Here is a 15,994-nt window from a genome sequence, read left to right as displayed (position 1 = left end):
ATTATGATGCCAGGTAAAAGAAAATACAGAGTATAAATACTTAAGTACCTAGGAAGCTAAGAAAATTAATTAATGTGTAATTTTGTTAAGTATGAAATTTATTATTTAACTCATATATGTTACTTTTCTGAATTACACTTCACATATGAAATTATTTTAAAAATTCAATGGCAAAATTAACAATATATTGCAGCTTTTTACTCTACCTTTCATTTAAGCAAGCATAGTTCAATGTTCTTCAGTTTAATAATTGTAATTTAAACATTACTTGAGGTAAACTACATTCATGTAAATTTCCTCAATGCACATATTATCTTATTTAATAATTGCATATTGTATTAGCATTCTCTAGAGAAACACCCTCTAGCCAAGAGGGTGTGTGTGTGTGTGTGCGTGTGTGTGTGTGTAAAAATTTAGTTTAAGGAATTGGCTTATACAATTATGGAGGCCTGGTGAGTCCAAAATCTGATGGGGGAGGCTGGCAGGTTGGAGATTCAGAAGAGTTGCAGTTTGAGTCTGAAGGTAGACTACTGGTAAATAAGAGCTGGTTCGGCAGATGAAGTCTCAGATTATGGGATACATTACCTATAGAACAGTTAACATCCTGAAGAAGTGTTTTATAAAATATCCACAGAAGTATGTAGATGTGGTATATTCAAATTATCTTTCTTATATTACAATACTGCACGTTCTGGTATCTCAACTAGTCATCACAGTATTGAACTCTTCTTACCCTACAATAATTATCCATTCCAGACACAAAATATGAGAAACAATCCTCATATTTATTTCCACTACATTTTTTTCTTGATGTACAAAATTATCTTCACTAACTGTTCTTGTCCCTGGTCTGCTACAAAAATGCCTCAAAATTCTAAAAGTTAACTTTAGTTTCCCCAGACCATTCCTTTCTGATTTAGGGTTTTATCTTGTTTTTGTATTTGACCCTGGACACTAAAGTAATCTACACAAACTTCATTATATAAATGTTTAATCTCAACTTTGTAAATATTTTGTTAAATAGTTTATGTTTCTATTAAATCACAGACTTTGAACTGGAACAGCAGCTCTCCCTGGGTCCCCAGTCTGCCTACCCCTCCTGAAATTTGGACTTACTAGCTTCCATAATTGTATGGGACATATCCTTATAATTCATACATATAGGTACATGTATACACATGTATACATGTGTATACATAGCCTGCATAACCTATTAGCTCTGTTTCTCTAGGGAAACATATATAAGGTTTCAAAACTATCAATTATTATTACAAACATTATGTTGTGTGCAAAAGGCTTGGATGATTCAAATATAAATATTACTCAGTTTTATTGATTATGAGCTTGTAAAGAAAAAAGATCATGCTTATTTAATGCTTACTATATGACAACTCTTTTTCTAAGCATTCTTCTAAGATGCTTCTGGGGCATCCAACACAGTAGCTATTAGCCACACTTGGTTATTTAAATTAAAATTTTTAAAAATTAAATTAAATTAAATTAAAATTTTAACCCCTCATCCACATTTCAAGTGCTCAATAACAATATATGGCTAGTGACTACCACATTGTACAGCTCATGGTTAGAATATCATCATCACAGAAACTTTCAGTGAACACACTGCAATATCTTCTGAACAGGTCTGTTTGTTTCTGTGCTTTCTGACCTGGTTTCTCTTATCTACACAGGAGCCAGAATAATTTTTAAAAACTGTTTATTTTTAAATTGTTTGTACATATATGGGGTATTGTGGGGTATGATGTGATATTTCGAGGTATGTATGTATGTACGTGTGTGTGTGTGTGTATAGATATAGATATAGATATAGATATAGATATAGATATAGATATAGATCAACTACTACAAAAGTTTCAGTTAGACTGAAGGAATAAGTTTTGGTGACTGCATGGTGACCATAGTGAATAATAATGTATTGCACATTTCAAAATTGCTGAAATAGATTTTCAGTGAGGTAATTCATTTAAAATAAAACCTAGAACCATTGTTCTTCTTATCAAAAACCATTCAGTTGCTGTTATTTTACCCAGAATAACTGTCCAATTCATTACACAGCCTACAATGCCTAATATAGACTTACTTTTAGCTGCCATTCTGTCTTTCTCTCCTACACTCTCGCCCCTGCTCACTCAGCTCAAGGCACAGCACACCAGCCTCCTTAGTCTACTTGAGCTCCCCAGGATGCTCTGCTCAGGGACTCTGCATTTCCTCTGATGCCTTTCCCCCATTTGGCTGCATTGCCAGGGTGCTCACTTCTTCAGAGTCTGTGACCACCCAGTCTCAAAATAGCTCTATTGATGTCTTGAAACCTTACTTTATTTTTCTTCCTAAAACTTATCACTACCTGCCATATTTTATATTTGTTGGTTTATTATCTGTCTCCCATTACTAGAATGAAAATCTGAAAGCAGGTATTTCACCTGTTCACCACTCTATGCCTAATACCTAGCACATCACTTTTTACAGTATTAGTGTTCAGTAATTATTTTTTGTATGGTTGAATGTATTAATTAATTTAATCCTTTAAACTACTCTATAAGTTTACCCAAAGTCAGCCTGTTGGAAAGTGGTGGACCTGAAAGGCGAACCCACACAGCCTGCATCCTGATCTCACACTTTTAATCTCTAAAATGCTTAGGATAAAATTTTTAAACCTCATAAAAATGTGCAGTCATCCATATTGTATTGACAGATACATTTTATTGACATGTGGTCAAGTAAACAGCTAAAATATCATTGGTATCTACCATTCAAATCTAGTAACTATGTATATTTTCTGTGATACATTTTATGGAGTTAAAAATACATTTCTAAATTTACTAAAGTACAAGGATAAGGAGATTTCTGACATCTCTTTTATTAATTATATAATCTGATATACCTGTATCTGCATAGCTGAAATTGATATACAAACAATTTTAATACATTTGTTACAAAAACTATAGAATCACTCACAGAACATTCTTCCATTTAGTTTTCCATTCCAATATTAAAATTAGAAGTAAATTTAGAACTCAAAATTTTTAAATTAAGTTCATATTAGAACAATTACATATGTTCTACAAAATGAGAGTAATTTATTCTAGTAAATATGCTTCTACTTTGGAACATTATAGACTGAAAATTTAAGTAATTTATTCTTTCCAGAAGATACACTTTCCCTATGTTTCCTTAGGTCTTGGAGTAATAATCTCAGACACCAAGTTATGATACATGTGTGGCAATATGAGTGTCTAAATAAAGTCTAAAAGTCCAGCCAAGAACTTTCTCTGCTAAAAGATGGTAAAAATGGCATGTCTAAATTTGATTCTATTCTTTCTTTATTTAAACAAATTATGTTCAAAAACAATTAAAAATATGCACATCTAGATGCATTTAAAACTCACTAACCAAAACTTAGAATAGGAAAATATAAATTAAAATCTCAAGAACTAAAAATAATGAAAGGGAAACTGCCTTACATATATATAAAGGTAGCTTCTAAGTACATCCAGACTAACGTGTCCTCCTCCCCACCCCATTTGGTAGAATGAAACCTTAAGTATGAGATTTTTTTTTTAAATCTTTAAAATCTTAAATAATTTAAAGATGAATTAAAATAGTGTTATAAGTGGGAAATTCTAGAAAGATAATTACCTCAGAACAATTTTTTGAGGAAAGCTTAACCCATTGAATAGAACTAGGCTGGTTGGTAGAATAATGTCTTCTTAGTGTCAATGATCATTTAAAATATAGTTTTGAATTGATAAAAATAGGCACTGTTTATAGACAATCATTTGCAACAGAATATTTTTATAAAAAATATTTTTCTATTAGGGAGAAGGTTTTAATTAGTTTTTAATCTCAAACTCTAATACATCTAGACTTTTGAAAATTTAAGATTTAATAAACAAGAGATTTAATTTAAAATATGAAACACATTAATGCATTAAACTTTTTTTTTTAGTTTCAGGAACAAAACCTTAATGCATTGCTTAAATGGGAAGTTATTGCCTCACAAACGTGAGAAAAACGATTTATGGCAGACATGTTTTGAGATAGCTTGATTCGAGATTTAAATGATGTTACCTTGATTCATATCTATATTTGAAGTGTCCAGCCTTTAATCAAGACAAACTTAGGTTGTTAAGAGTACAGCTGAAGTATCATTAATCTCTACTATCAAAATATAGTAACTATTTATAAGTTCTGTATACAGTTGACCCTTGAACAACCCAGGTATGAACTGTGCAGGTCTTCTTATACACAGATTTTCTTCTACCTCTACCACCCTTGAGATAACCAGACCAACCCCTCCTCTTTCTCCTTAGCCTACTCAAGTGAAGACAACAAAAATGAAGAGCCCTATGGTGATCTACTTCAACTTAATGAATGGTAAATATATTTTTTCGTCCTTATGATTTTCTTAGTAACATTTCTTTTCCTCTAACTGTAAAAGTATATAATGCATATGACACACAAAATAAGTGTTAATCAGATTGCTTATTTATGGATAAGGCTTCTGCTCAATAATGAGATACTAGTATTTAAGTTTTTGGGGACCCACATGTATACATGGATTTTCAACTGTGTGAGGGGTTGGTGCCCCTAAATTCCATGTTGTTGAAGGGTCACTGTATTCTATTTTACCTGCGAATACTGACAGCTTTTTATTCACATTGCAAGATGGTAACCAGCAACTCTCAAGGCAAGATAATTCTGCTGTAAATTTGAATAAAAGAAATCAATTTTGTTGCATTAATCCAAGCAAAAATCCTGAAATTCACTTTCTTTAGGAGGATGTCAGTCCATTTGTGTACTACTATGTAATAAAATGCCACAGATTGAGTAATGCTTAAAGATAATACATATATTTTTTCATAGTTCTGGAGGCTGTAAAGTCTAAGATTAAGGCACCAGCAAGTAGGGTGCCTCATGAGGGCCTGTTCCCTACTTCCAAGATAGCACCAAGTTGTTGTGTCCTCACAAGTCAGAAGAAAGGAATGGGAAGAAATTCACTCTTTCTAACCCTTTTATAAGAACCCTAATCCTAACCTTGAGGGGCTCTGTTTTCATTACTTAATCACCTCTTAAAGGCCCAACATGTTAATACTACCACATTAGCTATTAAGTTTCAACACACGAATTCAGCCAAACACATTCAGATCATAGCAGAGAGCTTAATTCTTGTGCTGACTCTGAATTAATAGTGGATAAACTTAGCTGAGGATTACTTGCTACTCCCCTGGGCCCACAGTGAGAATCTACGTTCCACAAATAGCTTGAGTTAAGAATGTGGCGTGATAGTATCGTCCTAAAACCTCAGAGTACTATTGCCTACTCAGGAATGGAGAGTAATTTCTGAGTGCTATGGCTGACACTGTTGGCTATGGGAAAGCTATGCTGAAGAGGTAAAGATCCAACAAGGCCACTGAAACATTGGAAGAACAAATAGCTGGTGTTCTTCATTTTTCATGGAGTACCTATGGGGCCCCTTTGTCTCCCTAGCTGCACAGAAAAGTTCCCAGTCACGATTTCTTTCCACCTCAAACACAGGTGTCTTTCTACTTCTTTTCCTGAAGGCTCTCTCCAATGCCATGGTAGCTTAATCAACCCAAGGTCAGGGTAACTCACAAGTGCAGAAGAGTGAATTCCTCCAGGGGCAATCCTCAGATAGTAAGCTATGGAATTTAGTAGATAAGTGTTCCAGTTTCCTGTTCCACAGTGGGGTAATTTTGAGGTGTATAAGATTCCTCAGAAGATCCCTATGGAACTAAGTTCTAGTTGCCCTTGGCAAAAACCTATTCACCACATATCCTTTGCTGACCTTTTTCTTTTCTTCCTGTTTTTACTTTTCCCACTAGAATTACTTTACAAATATACTGCCTGCACCCAAATCATTGTCTCAAGGTCTGCTTTCAAGAAAAACTTAATTAAATAATAGAGTCTTTTGAAGACCTTCCAGTTCAATTTCCCTCCTTTACTGGCAAGAAATTAAAGACCCACCAGGGGGTAAAAGTAGCCAGCACCACTAAATCTGAATCAGAACTGGATTTTTTGCCTTCCTTGTCAAACCCACTGTCTCTGCATTCCATGTATCTGGAAAGTGGCAATTGCCTCCTAAGTAGTTATTATTTGTACTTCTAGGCATGCTTCTCTTCACACTGTCTCCAAAGTAATGCTAAAGTTGTTTTCAAAAGCACTAACTGAAATATGCTCTTGCTGTCTCCTTAGTATAAGATTGTTGTGACAATAAAGATATTGAAGAAAGAAAAGTTCTTGTCAATGTTGGATATTAAATGAACAGTAAATGTTACATCTGTTATTATTATTAGTTATTATTCAGAATATACAGATCACATTTCTCTCTGAATAAAACTAATTTTCTTGTTATGGCACATAAGGTCCTCCTAAATCTGATTCTTAAGGACCTCTGTGGATCAACTCCTTCTGACTCATGATTGCTCTTCTATTCTCCTACATATGGAATCATTTTCACGCCCCTGAACTTGCCATTCAATTTTAAGATTCAAGGTTTTTCTGTAATATAGGTCCTCTGCCTATACTGTACTTCTTTAATTCTTTGATGGATATATCTTTTATTCCCACATAACTCAACTCAAGCATGTGCTTGTGAAGCCATCCCTAACTGATGTAATGATGATCTCGTCCTTCTCTGCCTTAACACAGGATTCTAGGAAAACATCTAAAAATGCCATCATTGGTTTACAATTTGTCCTCTATAATGGGCTTAAACTTTTAAGAACAGAAATTTTAAACCTTGTCTCTGTATCAACCAGCATACTTTTGGTTTATATAAAGTGTGTTGTAAATGAGTGATATACAAATAAATTAATGACAAACTTAGGCTTATGATTACAGTTCCTGCAAACTATGCCAATATTTTATATATCTTTGGTTATATCAATAGCTTAAATATTAACATAGGATAAGGGGTAGAAGAGGATTATGTATGCATAACTAAAAAATAAATAAGTAAATGCATTTATATAAATGTATAAAACAACTATATTAGAAGAAATTTCTTGCAAAATATTAATCAACAACATGATGTCTTTGACAAAGAGACATTTATTTTACCTTGCCAGTCAGGCCAAATCCCTCCAATTGCATTCTTGCCCTCCACCTACATCTTTGACCACAACCACTTAGATATCTGAATTACTTATATAATAAAAGGAACTATTTAATTATTAAATCTGCCCTTCAAACTGCAAAAAGGAAGTATGTACCTATGTAACTACATTGAATTAAAGCAAGCTTGTCTAAGGGGGTCAGTTTTATTTGGGAAAGCATGAGTGGCAGGGACCCTCTCCAAGGACCTGGACAGAAGTTTCATTGCTCCCATAAGCTGACCTAAACTGCTTCAATAATATATTTTATGGCTCTAAGTAGGAACGATTTTGATCATATATTAATGTCAAAGCGTTTGCTTCTATGCTTCCCATTGGTAATGGCTCTTTATGGTTTCCTCCATCCCATTTATGAAAAAGTTGTTCTCAAGTTTTCAGATATAATTTCATTTTAACTTAATTAAAAATAACATTTCATATAAGAATTATAAAAGGGCACCAAAGTGAAAAATTGAAAGCAGGATTCCAAGAAATACAATTTTAAAACACATTACCAAAGCAATATATGCTGCTTATAACAATTTGATAATATGGAAAAAAAATTAAATATAACTCACCTGCATTTCTACCGTATTATTCTGAGGGTTTAAGTCCTTAATTCCTTCCTTCCTTTCTTCTTTTTTTTTTCCTTTTTAACAGATAAGCCCAACTTTGTATAATACATTTCACTAAAGTCACCTAGCGTAACAAAAGCATTTTTCATGTTTGAAATATTAACATTATCTTGAAAATCTACATGATAATCAACTAAGAAATCAGTAATAATAATTTATCTCTTCATAAGTTTTCTGTTGAGCATTTGATCTAATTCCTCTTATTAATGATGCTAAGTTGAATGTCTCTAGGGATTTAGGTTTTTTTGAATAAGATTTTGTATTTATTTTGGTACAATTTAGTTATTGTTCTTGTGTATTTAATATTCTAATATATCTCAGAAAAGTAAATTGTGTTTTTATCACAACAATTTTGATTGTACTGTAGAAGTTATTTTATGTGCTACTGCATACTTAAAGCTTTTATTTTCTATTTTTTTAACATTTCAGCTCTGTTTTTGTGTTTCAAACTAATTTATTAAATATGTCCAAGTGCTTTTGGACATTTTGAAACATTCAATTCAATTTAGATCTAACAACTTTGCTTAGCTTTCTGTTTTTTGTTTGTTTTTTGTTTTTTGTTTTAGAATATTATCAGCGGAGTTTGCAGTGAGCTGAGATCGTGCCACTGCACTCCAGCCTGGGCGACAGAGTGAGACTCTGTCTCAAAAAACAAACAAACAAAAAAACAAATAAAAAAACTTTTTATTTTAGGTTCAGGGATACATGTGCAGATTTATTATATAGGGAAACTTGTGTTATGGGGCTTTGTTGTACACATTATTTCATGATGCAGGACTAAGCCTAGTAGTTCTTTTTTCTGCTCCTCTCACCCTCCACCCTCTGATATGTCCCAGGGTATGCTGTTCCCCTCCATGTGTACATGTGTTCTCATCATTTAGCTCTCACTTTTAAGTGAAAACACATGGTATTTGGTTTCTTGTTTTTGTATTAGCTTGCTAAGGATAATGACTTCCAGCACCATCCATGTTCTTGCAAGGACACGATTGTGTTCTCTTTTATGGAAGCATAGTATTCCATGTATGTGTTCCACATTATCTTTACTTGTTCTTACAGTCATGAACATTTAGGTTAATTCCATGTCTGTGCTGTTGTGAATAGTGCTGCAGTGAATATATATGTGCATGTGTCTTTATAATAAAATGATTTATATTCCTTTGGGTATATACCCAGTAATGGGATTGCTAGGTCGAATGAAATTTCTGTTTTTAGCTCTTTGAGGAATTGCCACACTGTTTTCCACAATGGTTGAACTAATTTACATTCCCAAGAGTGTATGAACATTCCCTCTTCTCCACAACCTCACCAATATCTATTATTTTATGAAGTTTTAATCATAGTCATTCTGACTGGTGTGAGATGGTACCTCATTGTGGTTTTGATTTGTGTTTCTCTAATTACCAGAGATGTTGAGCTGTTTTTCATATGCTTGTTGGCCACATCTATGTCTTCTTTTCAAAAGTGTCTGTTGCCCACTTTTTAATGGGATTGTTTGTTTTTTTTCTTGTAAATGTGTTTAAGTTCCTTATAGATGCCGGATATTAGACCTTTGTCAGATGCAGGGTTTGCAACAATTTTCTCCCATTCTGTCTGTTGTCTGTTTACCCTGTTGATAATTTGTTTTGCTATGCACAAGCTTTTTAGTTTAATTAGAACTCATTTGTCAGTGTTTGCTTTCGTTGTAATTGCTTTTGGCACCTTCATCATGAAACCTTTGCCACCTTCATCATGAAACCTTTGCCAGTTCCTGTATCCTAAATGGCATTTCCTAGGTTGTCTTCCAGGGTTTTATAATTTTGGGTATTATATTTAAGTCTTTAACCCATCTTCAGTTGATTTTTGTATATGATGTAAGCAAAGAATCCAGTTTCAATTTTCTGCATATGGCTAGCCAGTTATCCCAGCTATGGAATAGCTATCCATTTATGGAATAGGGAGTCCTTTCCCCATTGCTTGTTTTTGTCAGCTTTAGAAGATCAAATGGTTGTAGGTGTGCAGCTTTATTTCTGGGATCTCCATTTTGTTCCATTGGTCTATGTATCTATTTTAGTGCCAGTACTATACTGTTTTGGTTACTCTAGCCCTGTAGTATGGTTTGAAGTTAGTTAGCATGATGCTTTCTGCTTTGTTCTTTTTGCTTAGGACCTTGGCTATTCGGGCTCTTTTTTTTATTGGTTTCATATTTTAAAATAGTTTTTTTCTAATTCTCTGGAGAATGTCATTTGTGGTTTAATAAGAATAGCATTGAATGAGTAAAGTGCTTTGGGTAGTATGGTCATTTTGATGACATTGATTATTCCTAACCCCGAACATGGAATATTTTTCCATTTGTTTGTGTATTCTCTGATTTCTTTAAGCAGTGTTTTGTAATTCTCATGAGCCTGGTATCCTTTTCAATTTGTTTGTTTATCTTTAATTTTTTTATCAGTGTTTTGTATTTCTCCCTTTAGAGATTATTCAGTTCCATGGTTGAAACTATTCCTAGATATTTTATATTTTGTGTGGCTATTGGAACTGAATGATGGACTTCAGTTCTCATTTAGTTCTCAGCTTCAATGCTATTGGTTTATATAAATGCTACAGGTTGTTGTACATTGACTTTATGTCCTGCAACTCTACTGAAGTCACTTATCAAGTCCACAGGAGTCTAGGATTTTCTAGGTATACAACCATGTAATCAGTGGACAAAGATAATTTGACTTCCCCTTTTCCACTTTGGATGCTTTCTATTTCTTTTTATCACTTGATTTATCTGGCTAGGGTTTTCAGTGCTATGTTGAATTGGAATGGTGAGACTGGTCATCCTTATCTTGTTCTGGTTTTTAGGAAAATACTTTCAACTTTTCCCCATTCAGTATGATGTTGGCTGTAGGTCTGTCACATATGGCTCTTTTTATTTTGGATATTTTGCATCTATGCCTACTTAATTAAGGGTTTTTATCCTGAAGGGACATTGGATTTTATTGAATGCCTTTTCTGCCTCTATTGAGAGGATCATATCGTTTTTGTTCTTAGTTCTGTTTATGTGGTGGATCGAGTTTATTGATTTGTGCATGTTGCAGACTATTTGATCATGGTAAAGATCTTTTCAATGTACTGTTGAATTTGTTTTGCCAGTATTTCGTTAAGGACTTTTGCATCTATGTTCATCTAGGATACTGGCCTGTAATTTTCTTTTCTTTTTCTTTTTTTTTTTTTTGTTCTTGGCTGATTTTGGTATCAGGATGATACTGAATTTGTGGAATGAGTTAAAGAGGGATGCCTCCTCTTTGATTTTTTGGATTAGTTTCAGTAAGATTCATACCAGCTGTTCTGTGTATTTCTTGTAAAATTCGGCGGTGAATCCATCTGGTCCTGGGCTTTTTGTTGTTGAAAGGATTTTTTTTATTACTGATTCCATTTAGTAACTTATTATAGGTATTCTCAGGATTTCTATTTATTCCTAGCTAAATCTTGAGAGGCTATATGTTTCCAGGAATTTATCCCTTTTCTCTAAGTTTTCTAGTTTGTGTGCATAGAGGTGTTTGTAGTAGTCTCTGATGATCTTTTGTATTTACCTGGTATCAGTTATGATGTCAGCTTTATAATTTCTGATAGTACTTATTTGAATTTTCTCTTTTTTCTTGGTTAGTCTAGCTACTGACCTGCCAATTTTGTTTATCTTTTCAAAAAACCAACTTTTTCTTTTCATTAATCCTTCATATGATTTTCTTGATCTCAGTCTCATTTAGTTCTTGTCTGATCTTTGCTATTTCATTTCTTCTGCTACATTTAGTTTTTTTTTTCTTATTTGTCTATTTGTTTGAGATATGACATTAGCTTGTTAATTTGAGATCTGTTTTTTTGATGTTTGTGTTACAAACATTCCTCTTAGCATTGCTTGTGCTGTAACTCAGAGGTTTTGGAATGGATTTTTTTTTCTATTTTCACTCATTTCAAATACTTTTTAAGGTTTCTGCCTCAATTTTCTCGTCCATTGAAAAGTCATTCTTGAGCAAGTTTTTAATTTCCATATACTTGGGTAGTTTTGAGAGTTCTTCTTGGTTTTGATTTCTGATTTATTCCACTGTAGTCCAAGAAGATATTTGATATGATTTTGATTTTTGTGACTTGAGACTTGCCTTATGGCCAAGGATATGGTCTATTTTGGTGAACATTCTAAGTGCAGATAACAAGAATGTATATTCTGAAGTTGTTGGATAGAATGCTCTGAAGATGCCTATTATGTCCATTTGGTCTATAGTCCAGTTTAAGTCCAGAGTTTCTTTGTTGATTTCCTGCCTTGTTGATCAAGCTAGTGATGTCAGTGGGGGTGTTGAAGTCTTCTGCTATTATTGTATTGCTATCAACCTGCTTTTTATGTCTAGTGTAGTATTTGTTTAATGAATCTGGGTGCTCAATGTTTGGAGCATATACATTTAGAATAGTTAAATCTTCTTGTAATTTTGAACCATTTATCATTATATAATACATTTCTTTGTGTTTTTTCACTGTTGTTAAAGTCTGTTTTATCTGAAGAGAATAGCTACTTCTGCTCACTTTTGTTTCTCATTTGTGTGATGTATATTTTCCGTACTTTTAACTTTGAATCTGAAAGTGTCTTTAGCCGGTAGGTGGGTCTCTTGTAGACAGCAGATGGTTGAGTCTTCTTTTTTTTCTGATCCAATTTGCCATTCTGTGTCTTTTAAATGGGGAATTTAGGCCATTGACATTCAAGGTTAATATTGATTTGTGATGTTTTGCCCCTGATGTAGTGTTGTTAGCTTGTTGTTTTGGAGTTTCAACTATGTAGTTGCTTTATAGGATCCGTGAGCTTTATACTTATGTGTTCTTTTCTGATGATGAGTATCATCTTTTCATTTGCATGTTTACAACTCCTTTGAGCATTTCTTGTAAGACTGGTCTAGTGGTAAAAGATTCTCTTAGCAATCGCTTATCTGGGAAAGGCTTTATTTCTCCTTCATTTATGAAGCTTATTTTGGCAAGATATTTCATTCTTGTCTCGCTGTTTTCTCTTTACGGAAGCTAAAAGTAGGCCTTCAATCTCTTCTGGCTTCTAGGATTTCTGTTGAGAAGTCCATTGTTAATCTGATTGGTTTTCCTTGTAGATGATTTGATTCTTTTCTCTAGCTGCTAAATGCAGGCGCGAAGATATTTTTCTTTAACATTGACCTTGGATAGTCTGGTGACTATATGCCTTGGTGGTTTTCATTTTCTATAGTATCTTGCAGGTGTTCTCTGAATTTCTTTTGTCTGATTTTCTATCTCTCTAGCATGATTAGAGAAATTTTCTTGAATTATTCTATCAAATATTTTTCAGCTTGCTTTCTTTTCCTTCTTCTCTCTCAGGAATGCCAATAAGTCATAGGTCTGATCACTTTACATAATCCCATATTTTGTTTTTTTTTTTACATTCTTTTTTAAATTTTTGTCTAACTGGGCTAGTTCAAAAGATTGGTCTTCAAGCTCTGAAGTTCTTTTTTTTTTGGCTTGAAATAGTCTATTGTGGAAGCTTTCAATTGTATTTTGGAATTACTTAAGTGAATTTTTCAATTCCAGAAGTTCTGATTGATATTTTAAAGAAATTTATCTCTTCCTTCACTTCCTGAATTGCTTTTGTGGTTTCTTTTATTGATTTTTAATCTTGTCTTGGATCTCATTGAGTTTCCTTGCAATCCATACTTTGGATTCTTAATATTTTATTTCTCAGTTTTCATTTTGGTTAGTATCCACTGCTAGAACATTCTGATTTTGATGGTGCCAGAATTATTATACTGCTTCCTTCCCATGTGGAGTGGCTGGTACTTCAAATTTTTTATACTATTTTCATGTAGACAGGGTTTTTTTCCTTTTCCATTTTTTTTTTTTTTTGTCCTCCTCTCTTCTCCCCTCTTCAAGGGGAGTGACTATAGAATTTGTTGGGTAGGGCCTTTTGTCTTTGCCTCTGTAGCCCTACATGCCTCTTTCAGCAGGTTTTATATTAGCCTGTGCTGTTCAAAGTGCAGGCCAGTAGGTGGCACTTATAGGCAAAAGCCAGCTGTGGCACAAGCAGATGAGTAGTACTTGATCTTTGTCTACTATGGGGTGGTTTCTGTTGCTTCAGTTGATGGACAGGACAGTGGAATGCCTGGTGCCCTGAGCTTCCTCTTCAGTGGGGCAGGGGGACACAGCTGGGCTTGCTCATGAATACCCCAATAACAAACACAGGCACCAGGCCTAATGAGTATGGCTAGGGGGAGCTCCTGGTGAAATGCACTGAGGTCTTCATGGAGGGTGAGGGGACTGAGCTGGCTCCACATCTTAGAGAGGCAGTAACGTGATCTGTTTCTTTATTATACTCCAGTCCCAGGACTCATGACTATCAGTTCAAATATACACTGTAGTATATTTTAAGATATCTTTTAAAGCTATAAATATTCTTCTAAGCAATTCTTAAGTTGTACCATACAAAGTTTATGTTGTCTATTATTAGGGTTATGGTTAGATTAGGGTTTTCATTTAGTAATGTAAAGTGTCTCCTAATTTCTCTGTACTTTTTTTTCATTTATCTTGGTATTAATTAGAAGTTTTAAATGATTTGGGTAATTTTTAGATATCTTACTATTATTGCTTTCTAGTTATATTGTGTTGTGGTCAGACATCATATTCTGTAAGATTTGCTTTTAAAATATTGTGACTTTTTAAGTTTAGTTTTTTAAGCATTCTATGTGTACTTAAAAACATTGTATATTCTATATTTATTGGCTACAGGCTTCTATAAATGTTAATTTGGTCAATTTGATTAATAGTGTAATTCAAATCTTCTATATCCTTATATTTATTTGTTCTATATGTTACTAAAAGGCGGGTGTAAAAAATAAATCCATGAATGTGTATTTTCCCATTTCTTTCAATAGAACTGGTAGTTTTTGCTTCATACATTTTAAGACTTCATTATTAGGTGAATGCATATTTCAGATTGTCAATTCTTGATGAATTAATTTTTTTGTCATTCTGGTATAGGCCTTTAAATCTCTGTGAATATTATTTCTACTAAAAGCCACATTTTTTCTGTTAATATATTAATGCAGACTTTATACAAATAATTTTCATATCATGTTTTTCCATCCCTTTGCCTCTAAGCTTTTTGTGTATTTATGTTTAAATACATACAGATAACATATAATTGGGACTACTTTTACATACTGTCTAACAATTTTTATTTTTATCTGGGGTATCTAGTCAATACATATTTAATATAAAAATTGAGATATTTAGGTTAAAGAATACTGCCTTTCCATTTGTTTTGTATTTGTCTTGTTCATTTTTTAGGTCATTTGTTTTTTATTTCTGCAATTTTGTGGGATAAGGTCTTCTTTTTTCTTTGAGTTTTAATAAACTTATTTTTTTATCGTTATGTTTTTGTATTACTTTTCTGGCATTACTCTAGGAAATAAAATATACATTTTTGAATATAAAGTTAATATTGCAACTCTATATATAAAATGCAAGAAACTTTCATTTGTGTAATTGCATTTATACTTCTGTATCCTTTGTGCTATTATGACATATTTAACTTCTTTAAATACTTTCTCTTCCCCAAATACATTTTTTAAATTTTCAATTACTAACTTTTGTGGGTACATAGTAGGTGTATATACTTATGTAGTACATGACATATTTTGATACAGGCATGCAGTGCATAATAATCACATGAGGGTAAATGAGGTATCCACCACTTCAAGCATTTACCTTTTGTGTTACAAATAATCCAATTATACCTTTTAGTTCCAAAATGCAATAAAAATACTTTCTCTTAAAATTATTATTGTGTTTTAAAGGATTTAAAAGTACAAACAGGTCTCTTATGTATTCCCATATATATAACAATTCTTTAGCTCAGTTTTGTTGCTGTATAGCAAAGTTTCCATCTAGCATCCCATTCTTCGCATCATAAGGACATTAATTAGCATTTGCTGTAATGAAAAGGTGCTAGAAATGAACCCTTTGTACTTCTGATTATGTGACACTATATTTTACCCTCATTTTCAATGGATATATATTGCTAAATGTAGAATTCTAGTTTGGCAGTTTTTTTTTTTTCTTTTCCCAACACTCGAAAGATGTTCCATCATTCACTGGCCTCTATTAGTTTGACAAAAAGCAAACTGTTTTCAAATTGTAATGCACCTTTTTGTAACATCATCTTTTTCTGATGTTCTATTTTATTCTTACTAGTTTAACTACAGT

This window comes from Homo sapiens, chromosome 5 (genome assembly GCF_000001405.40).
Source record: "Homo sapiens chromosome 5, GRCh38.p14 Primary Assembly".
NCBI classification, from domain to species: domain Eukaryota; kingdom Metazoa; phylum Chordata; class Mammalia; order Primates; family Hominidae; genus Homo; species Homo sapiens.
This window is presented reverse-complemented; position numbering follows the sequence as displayed.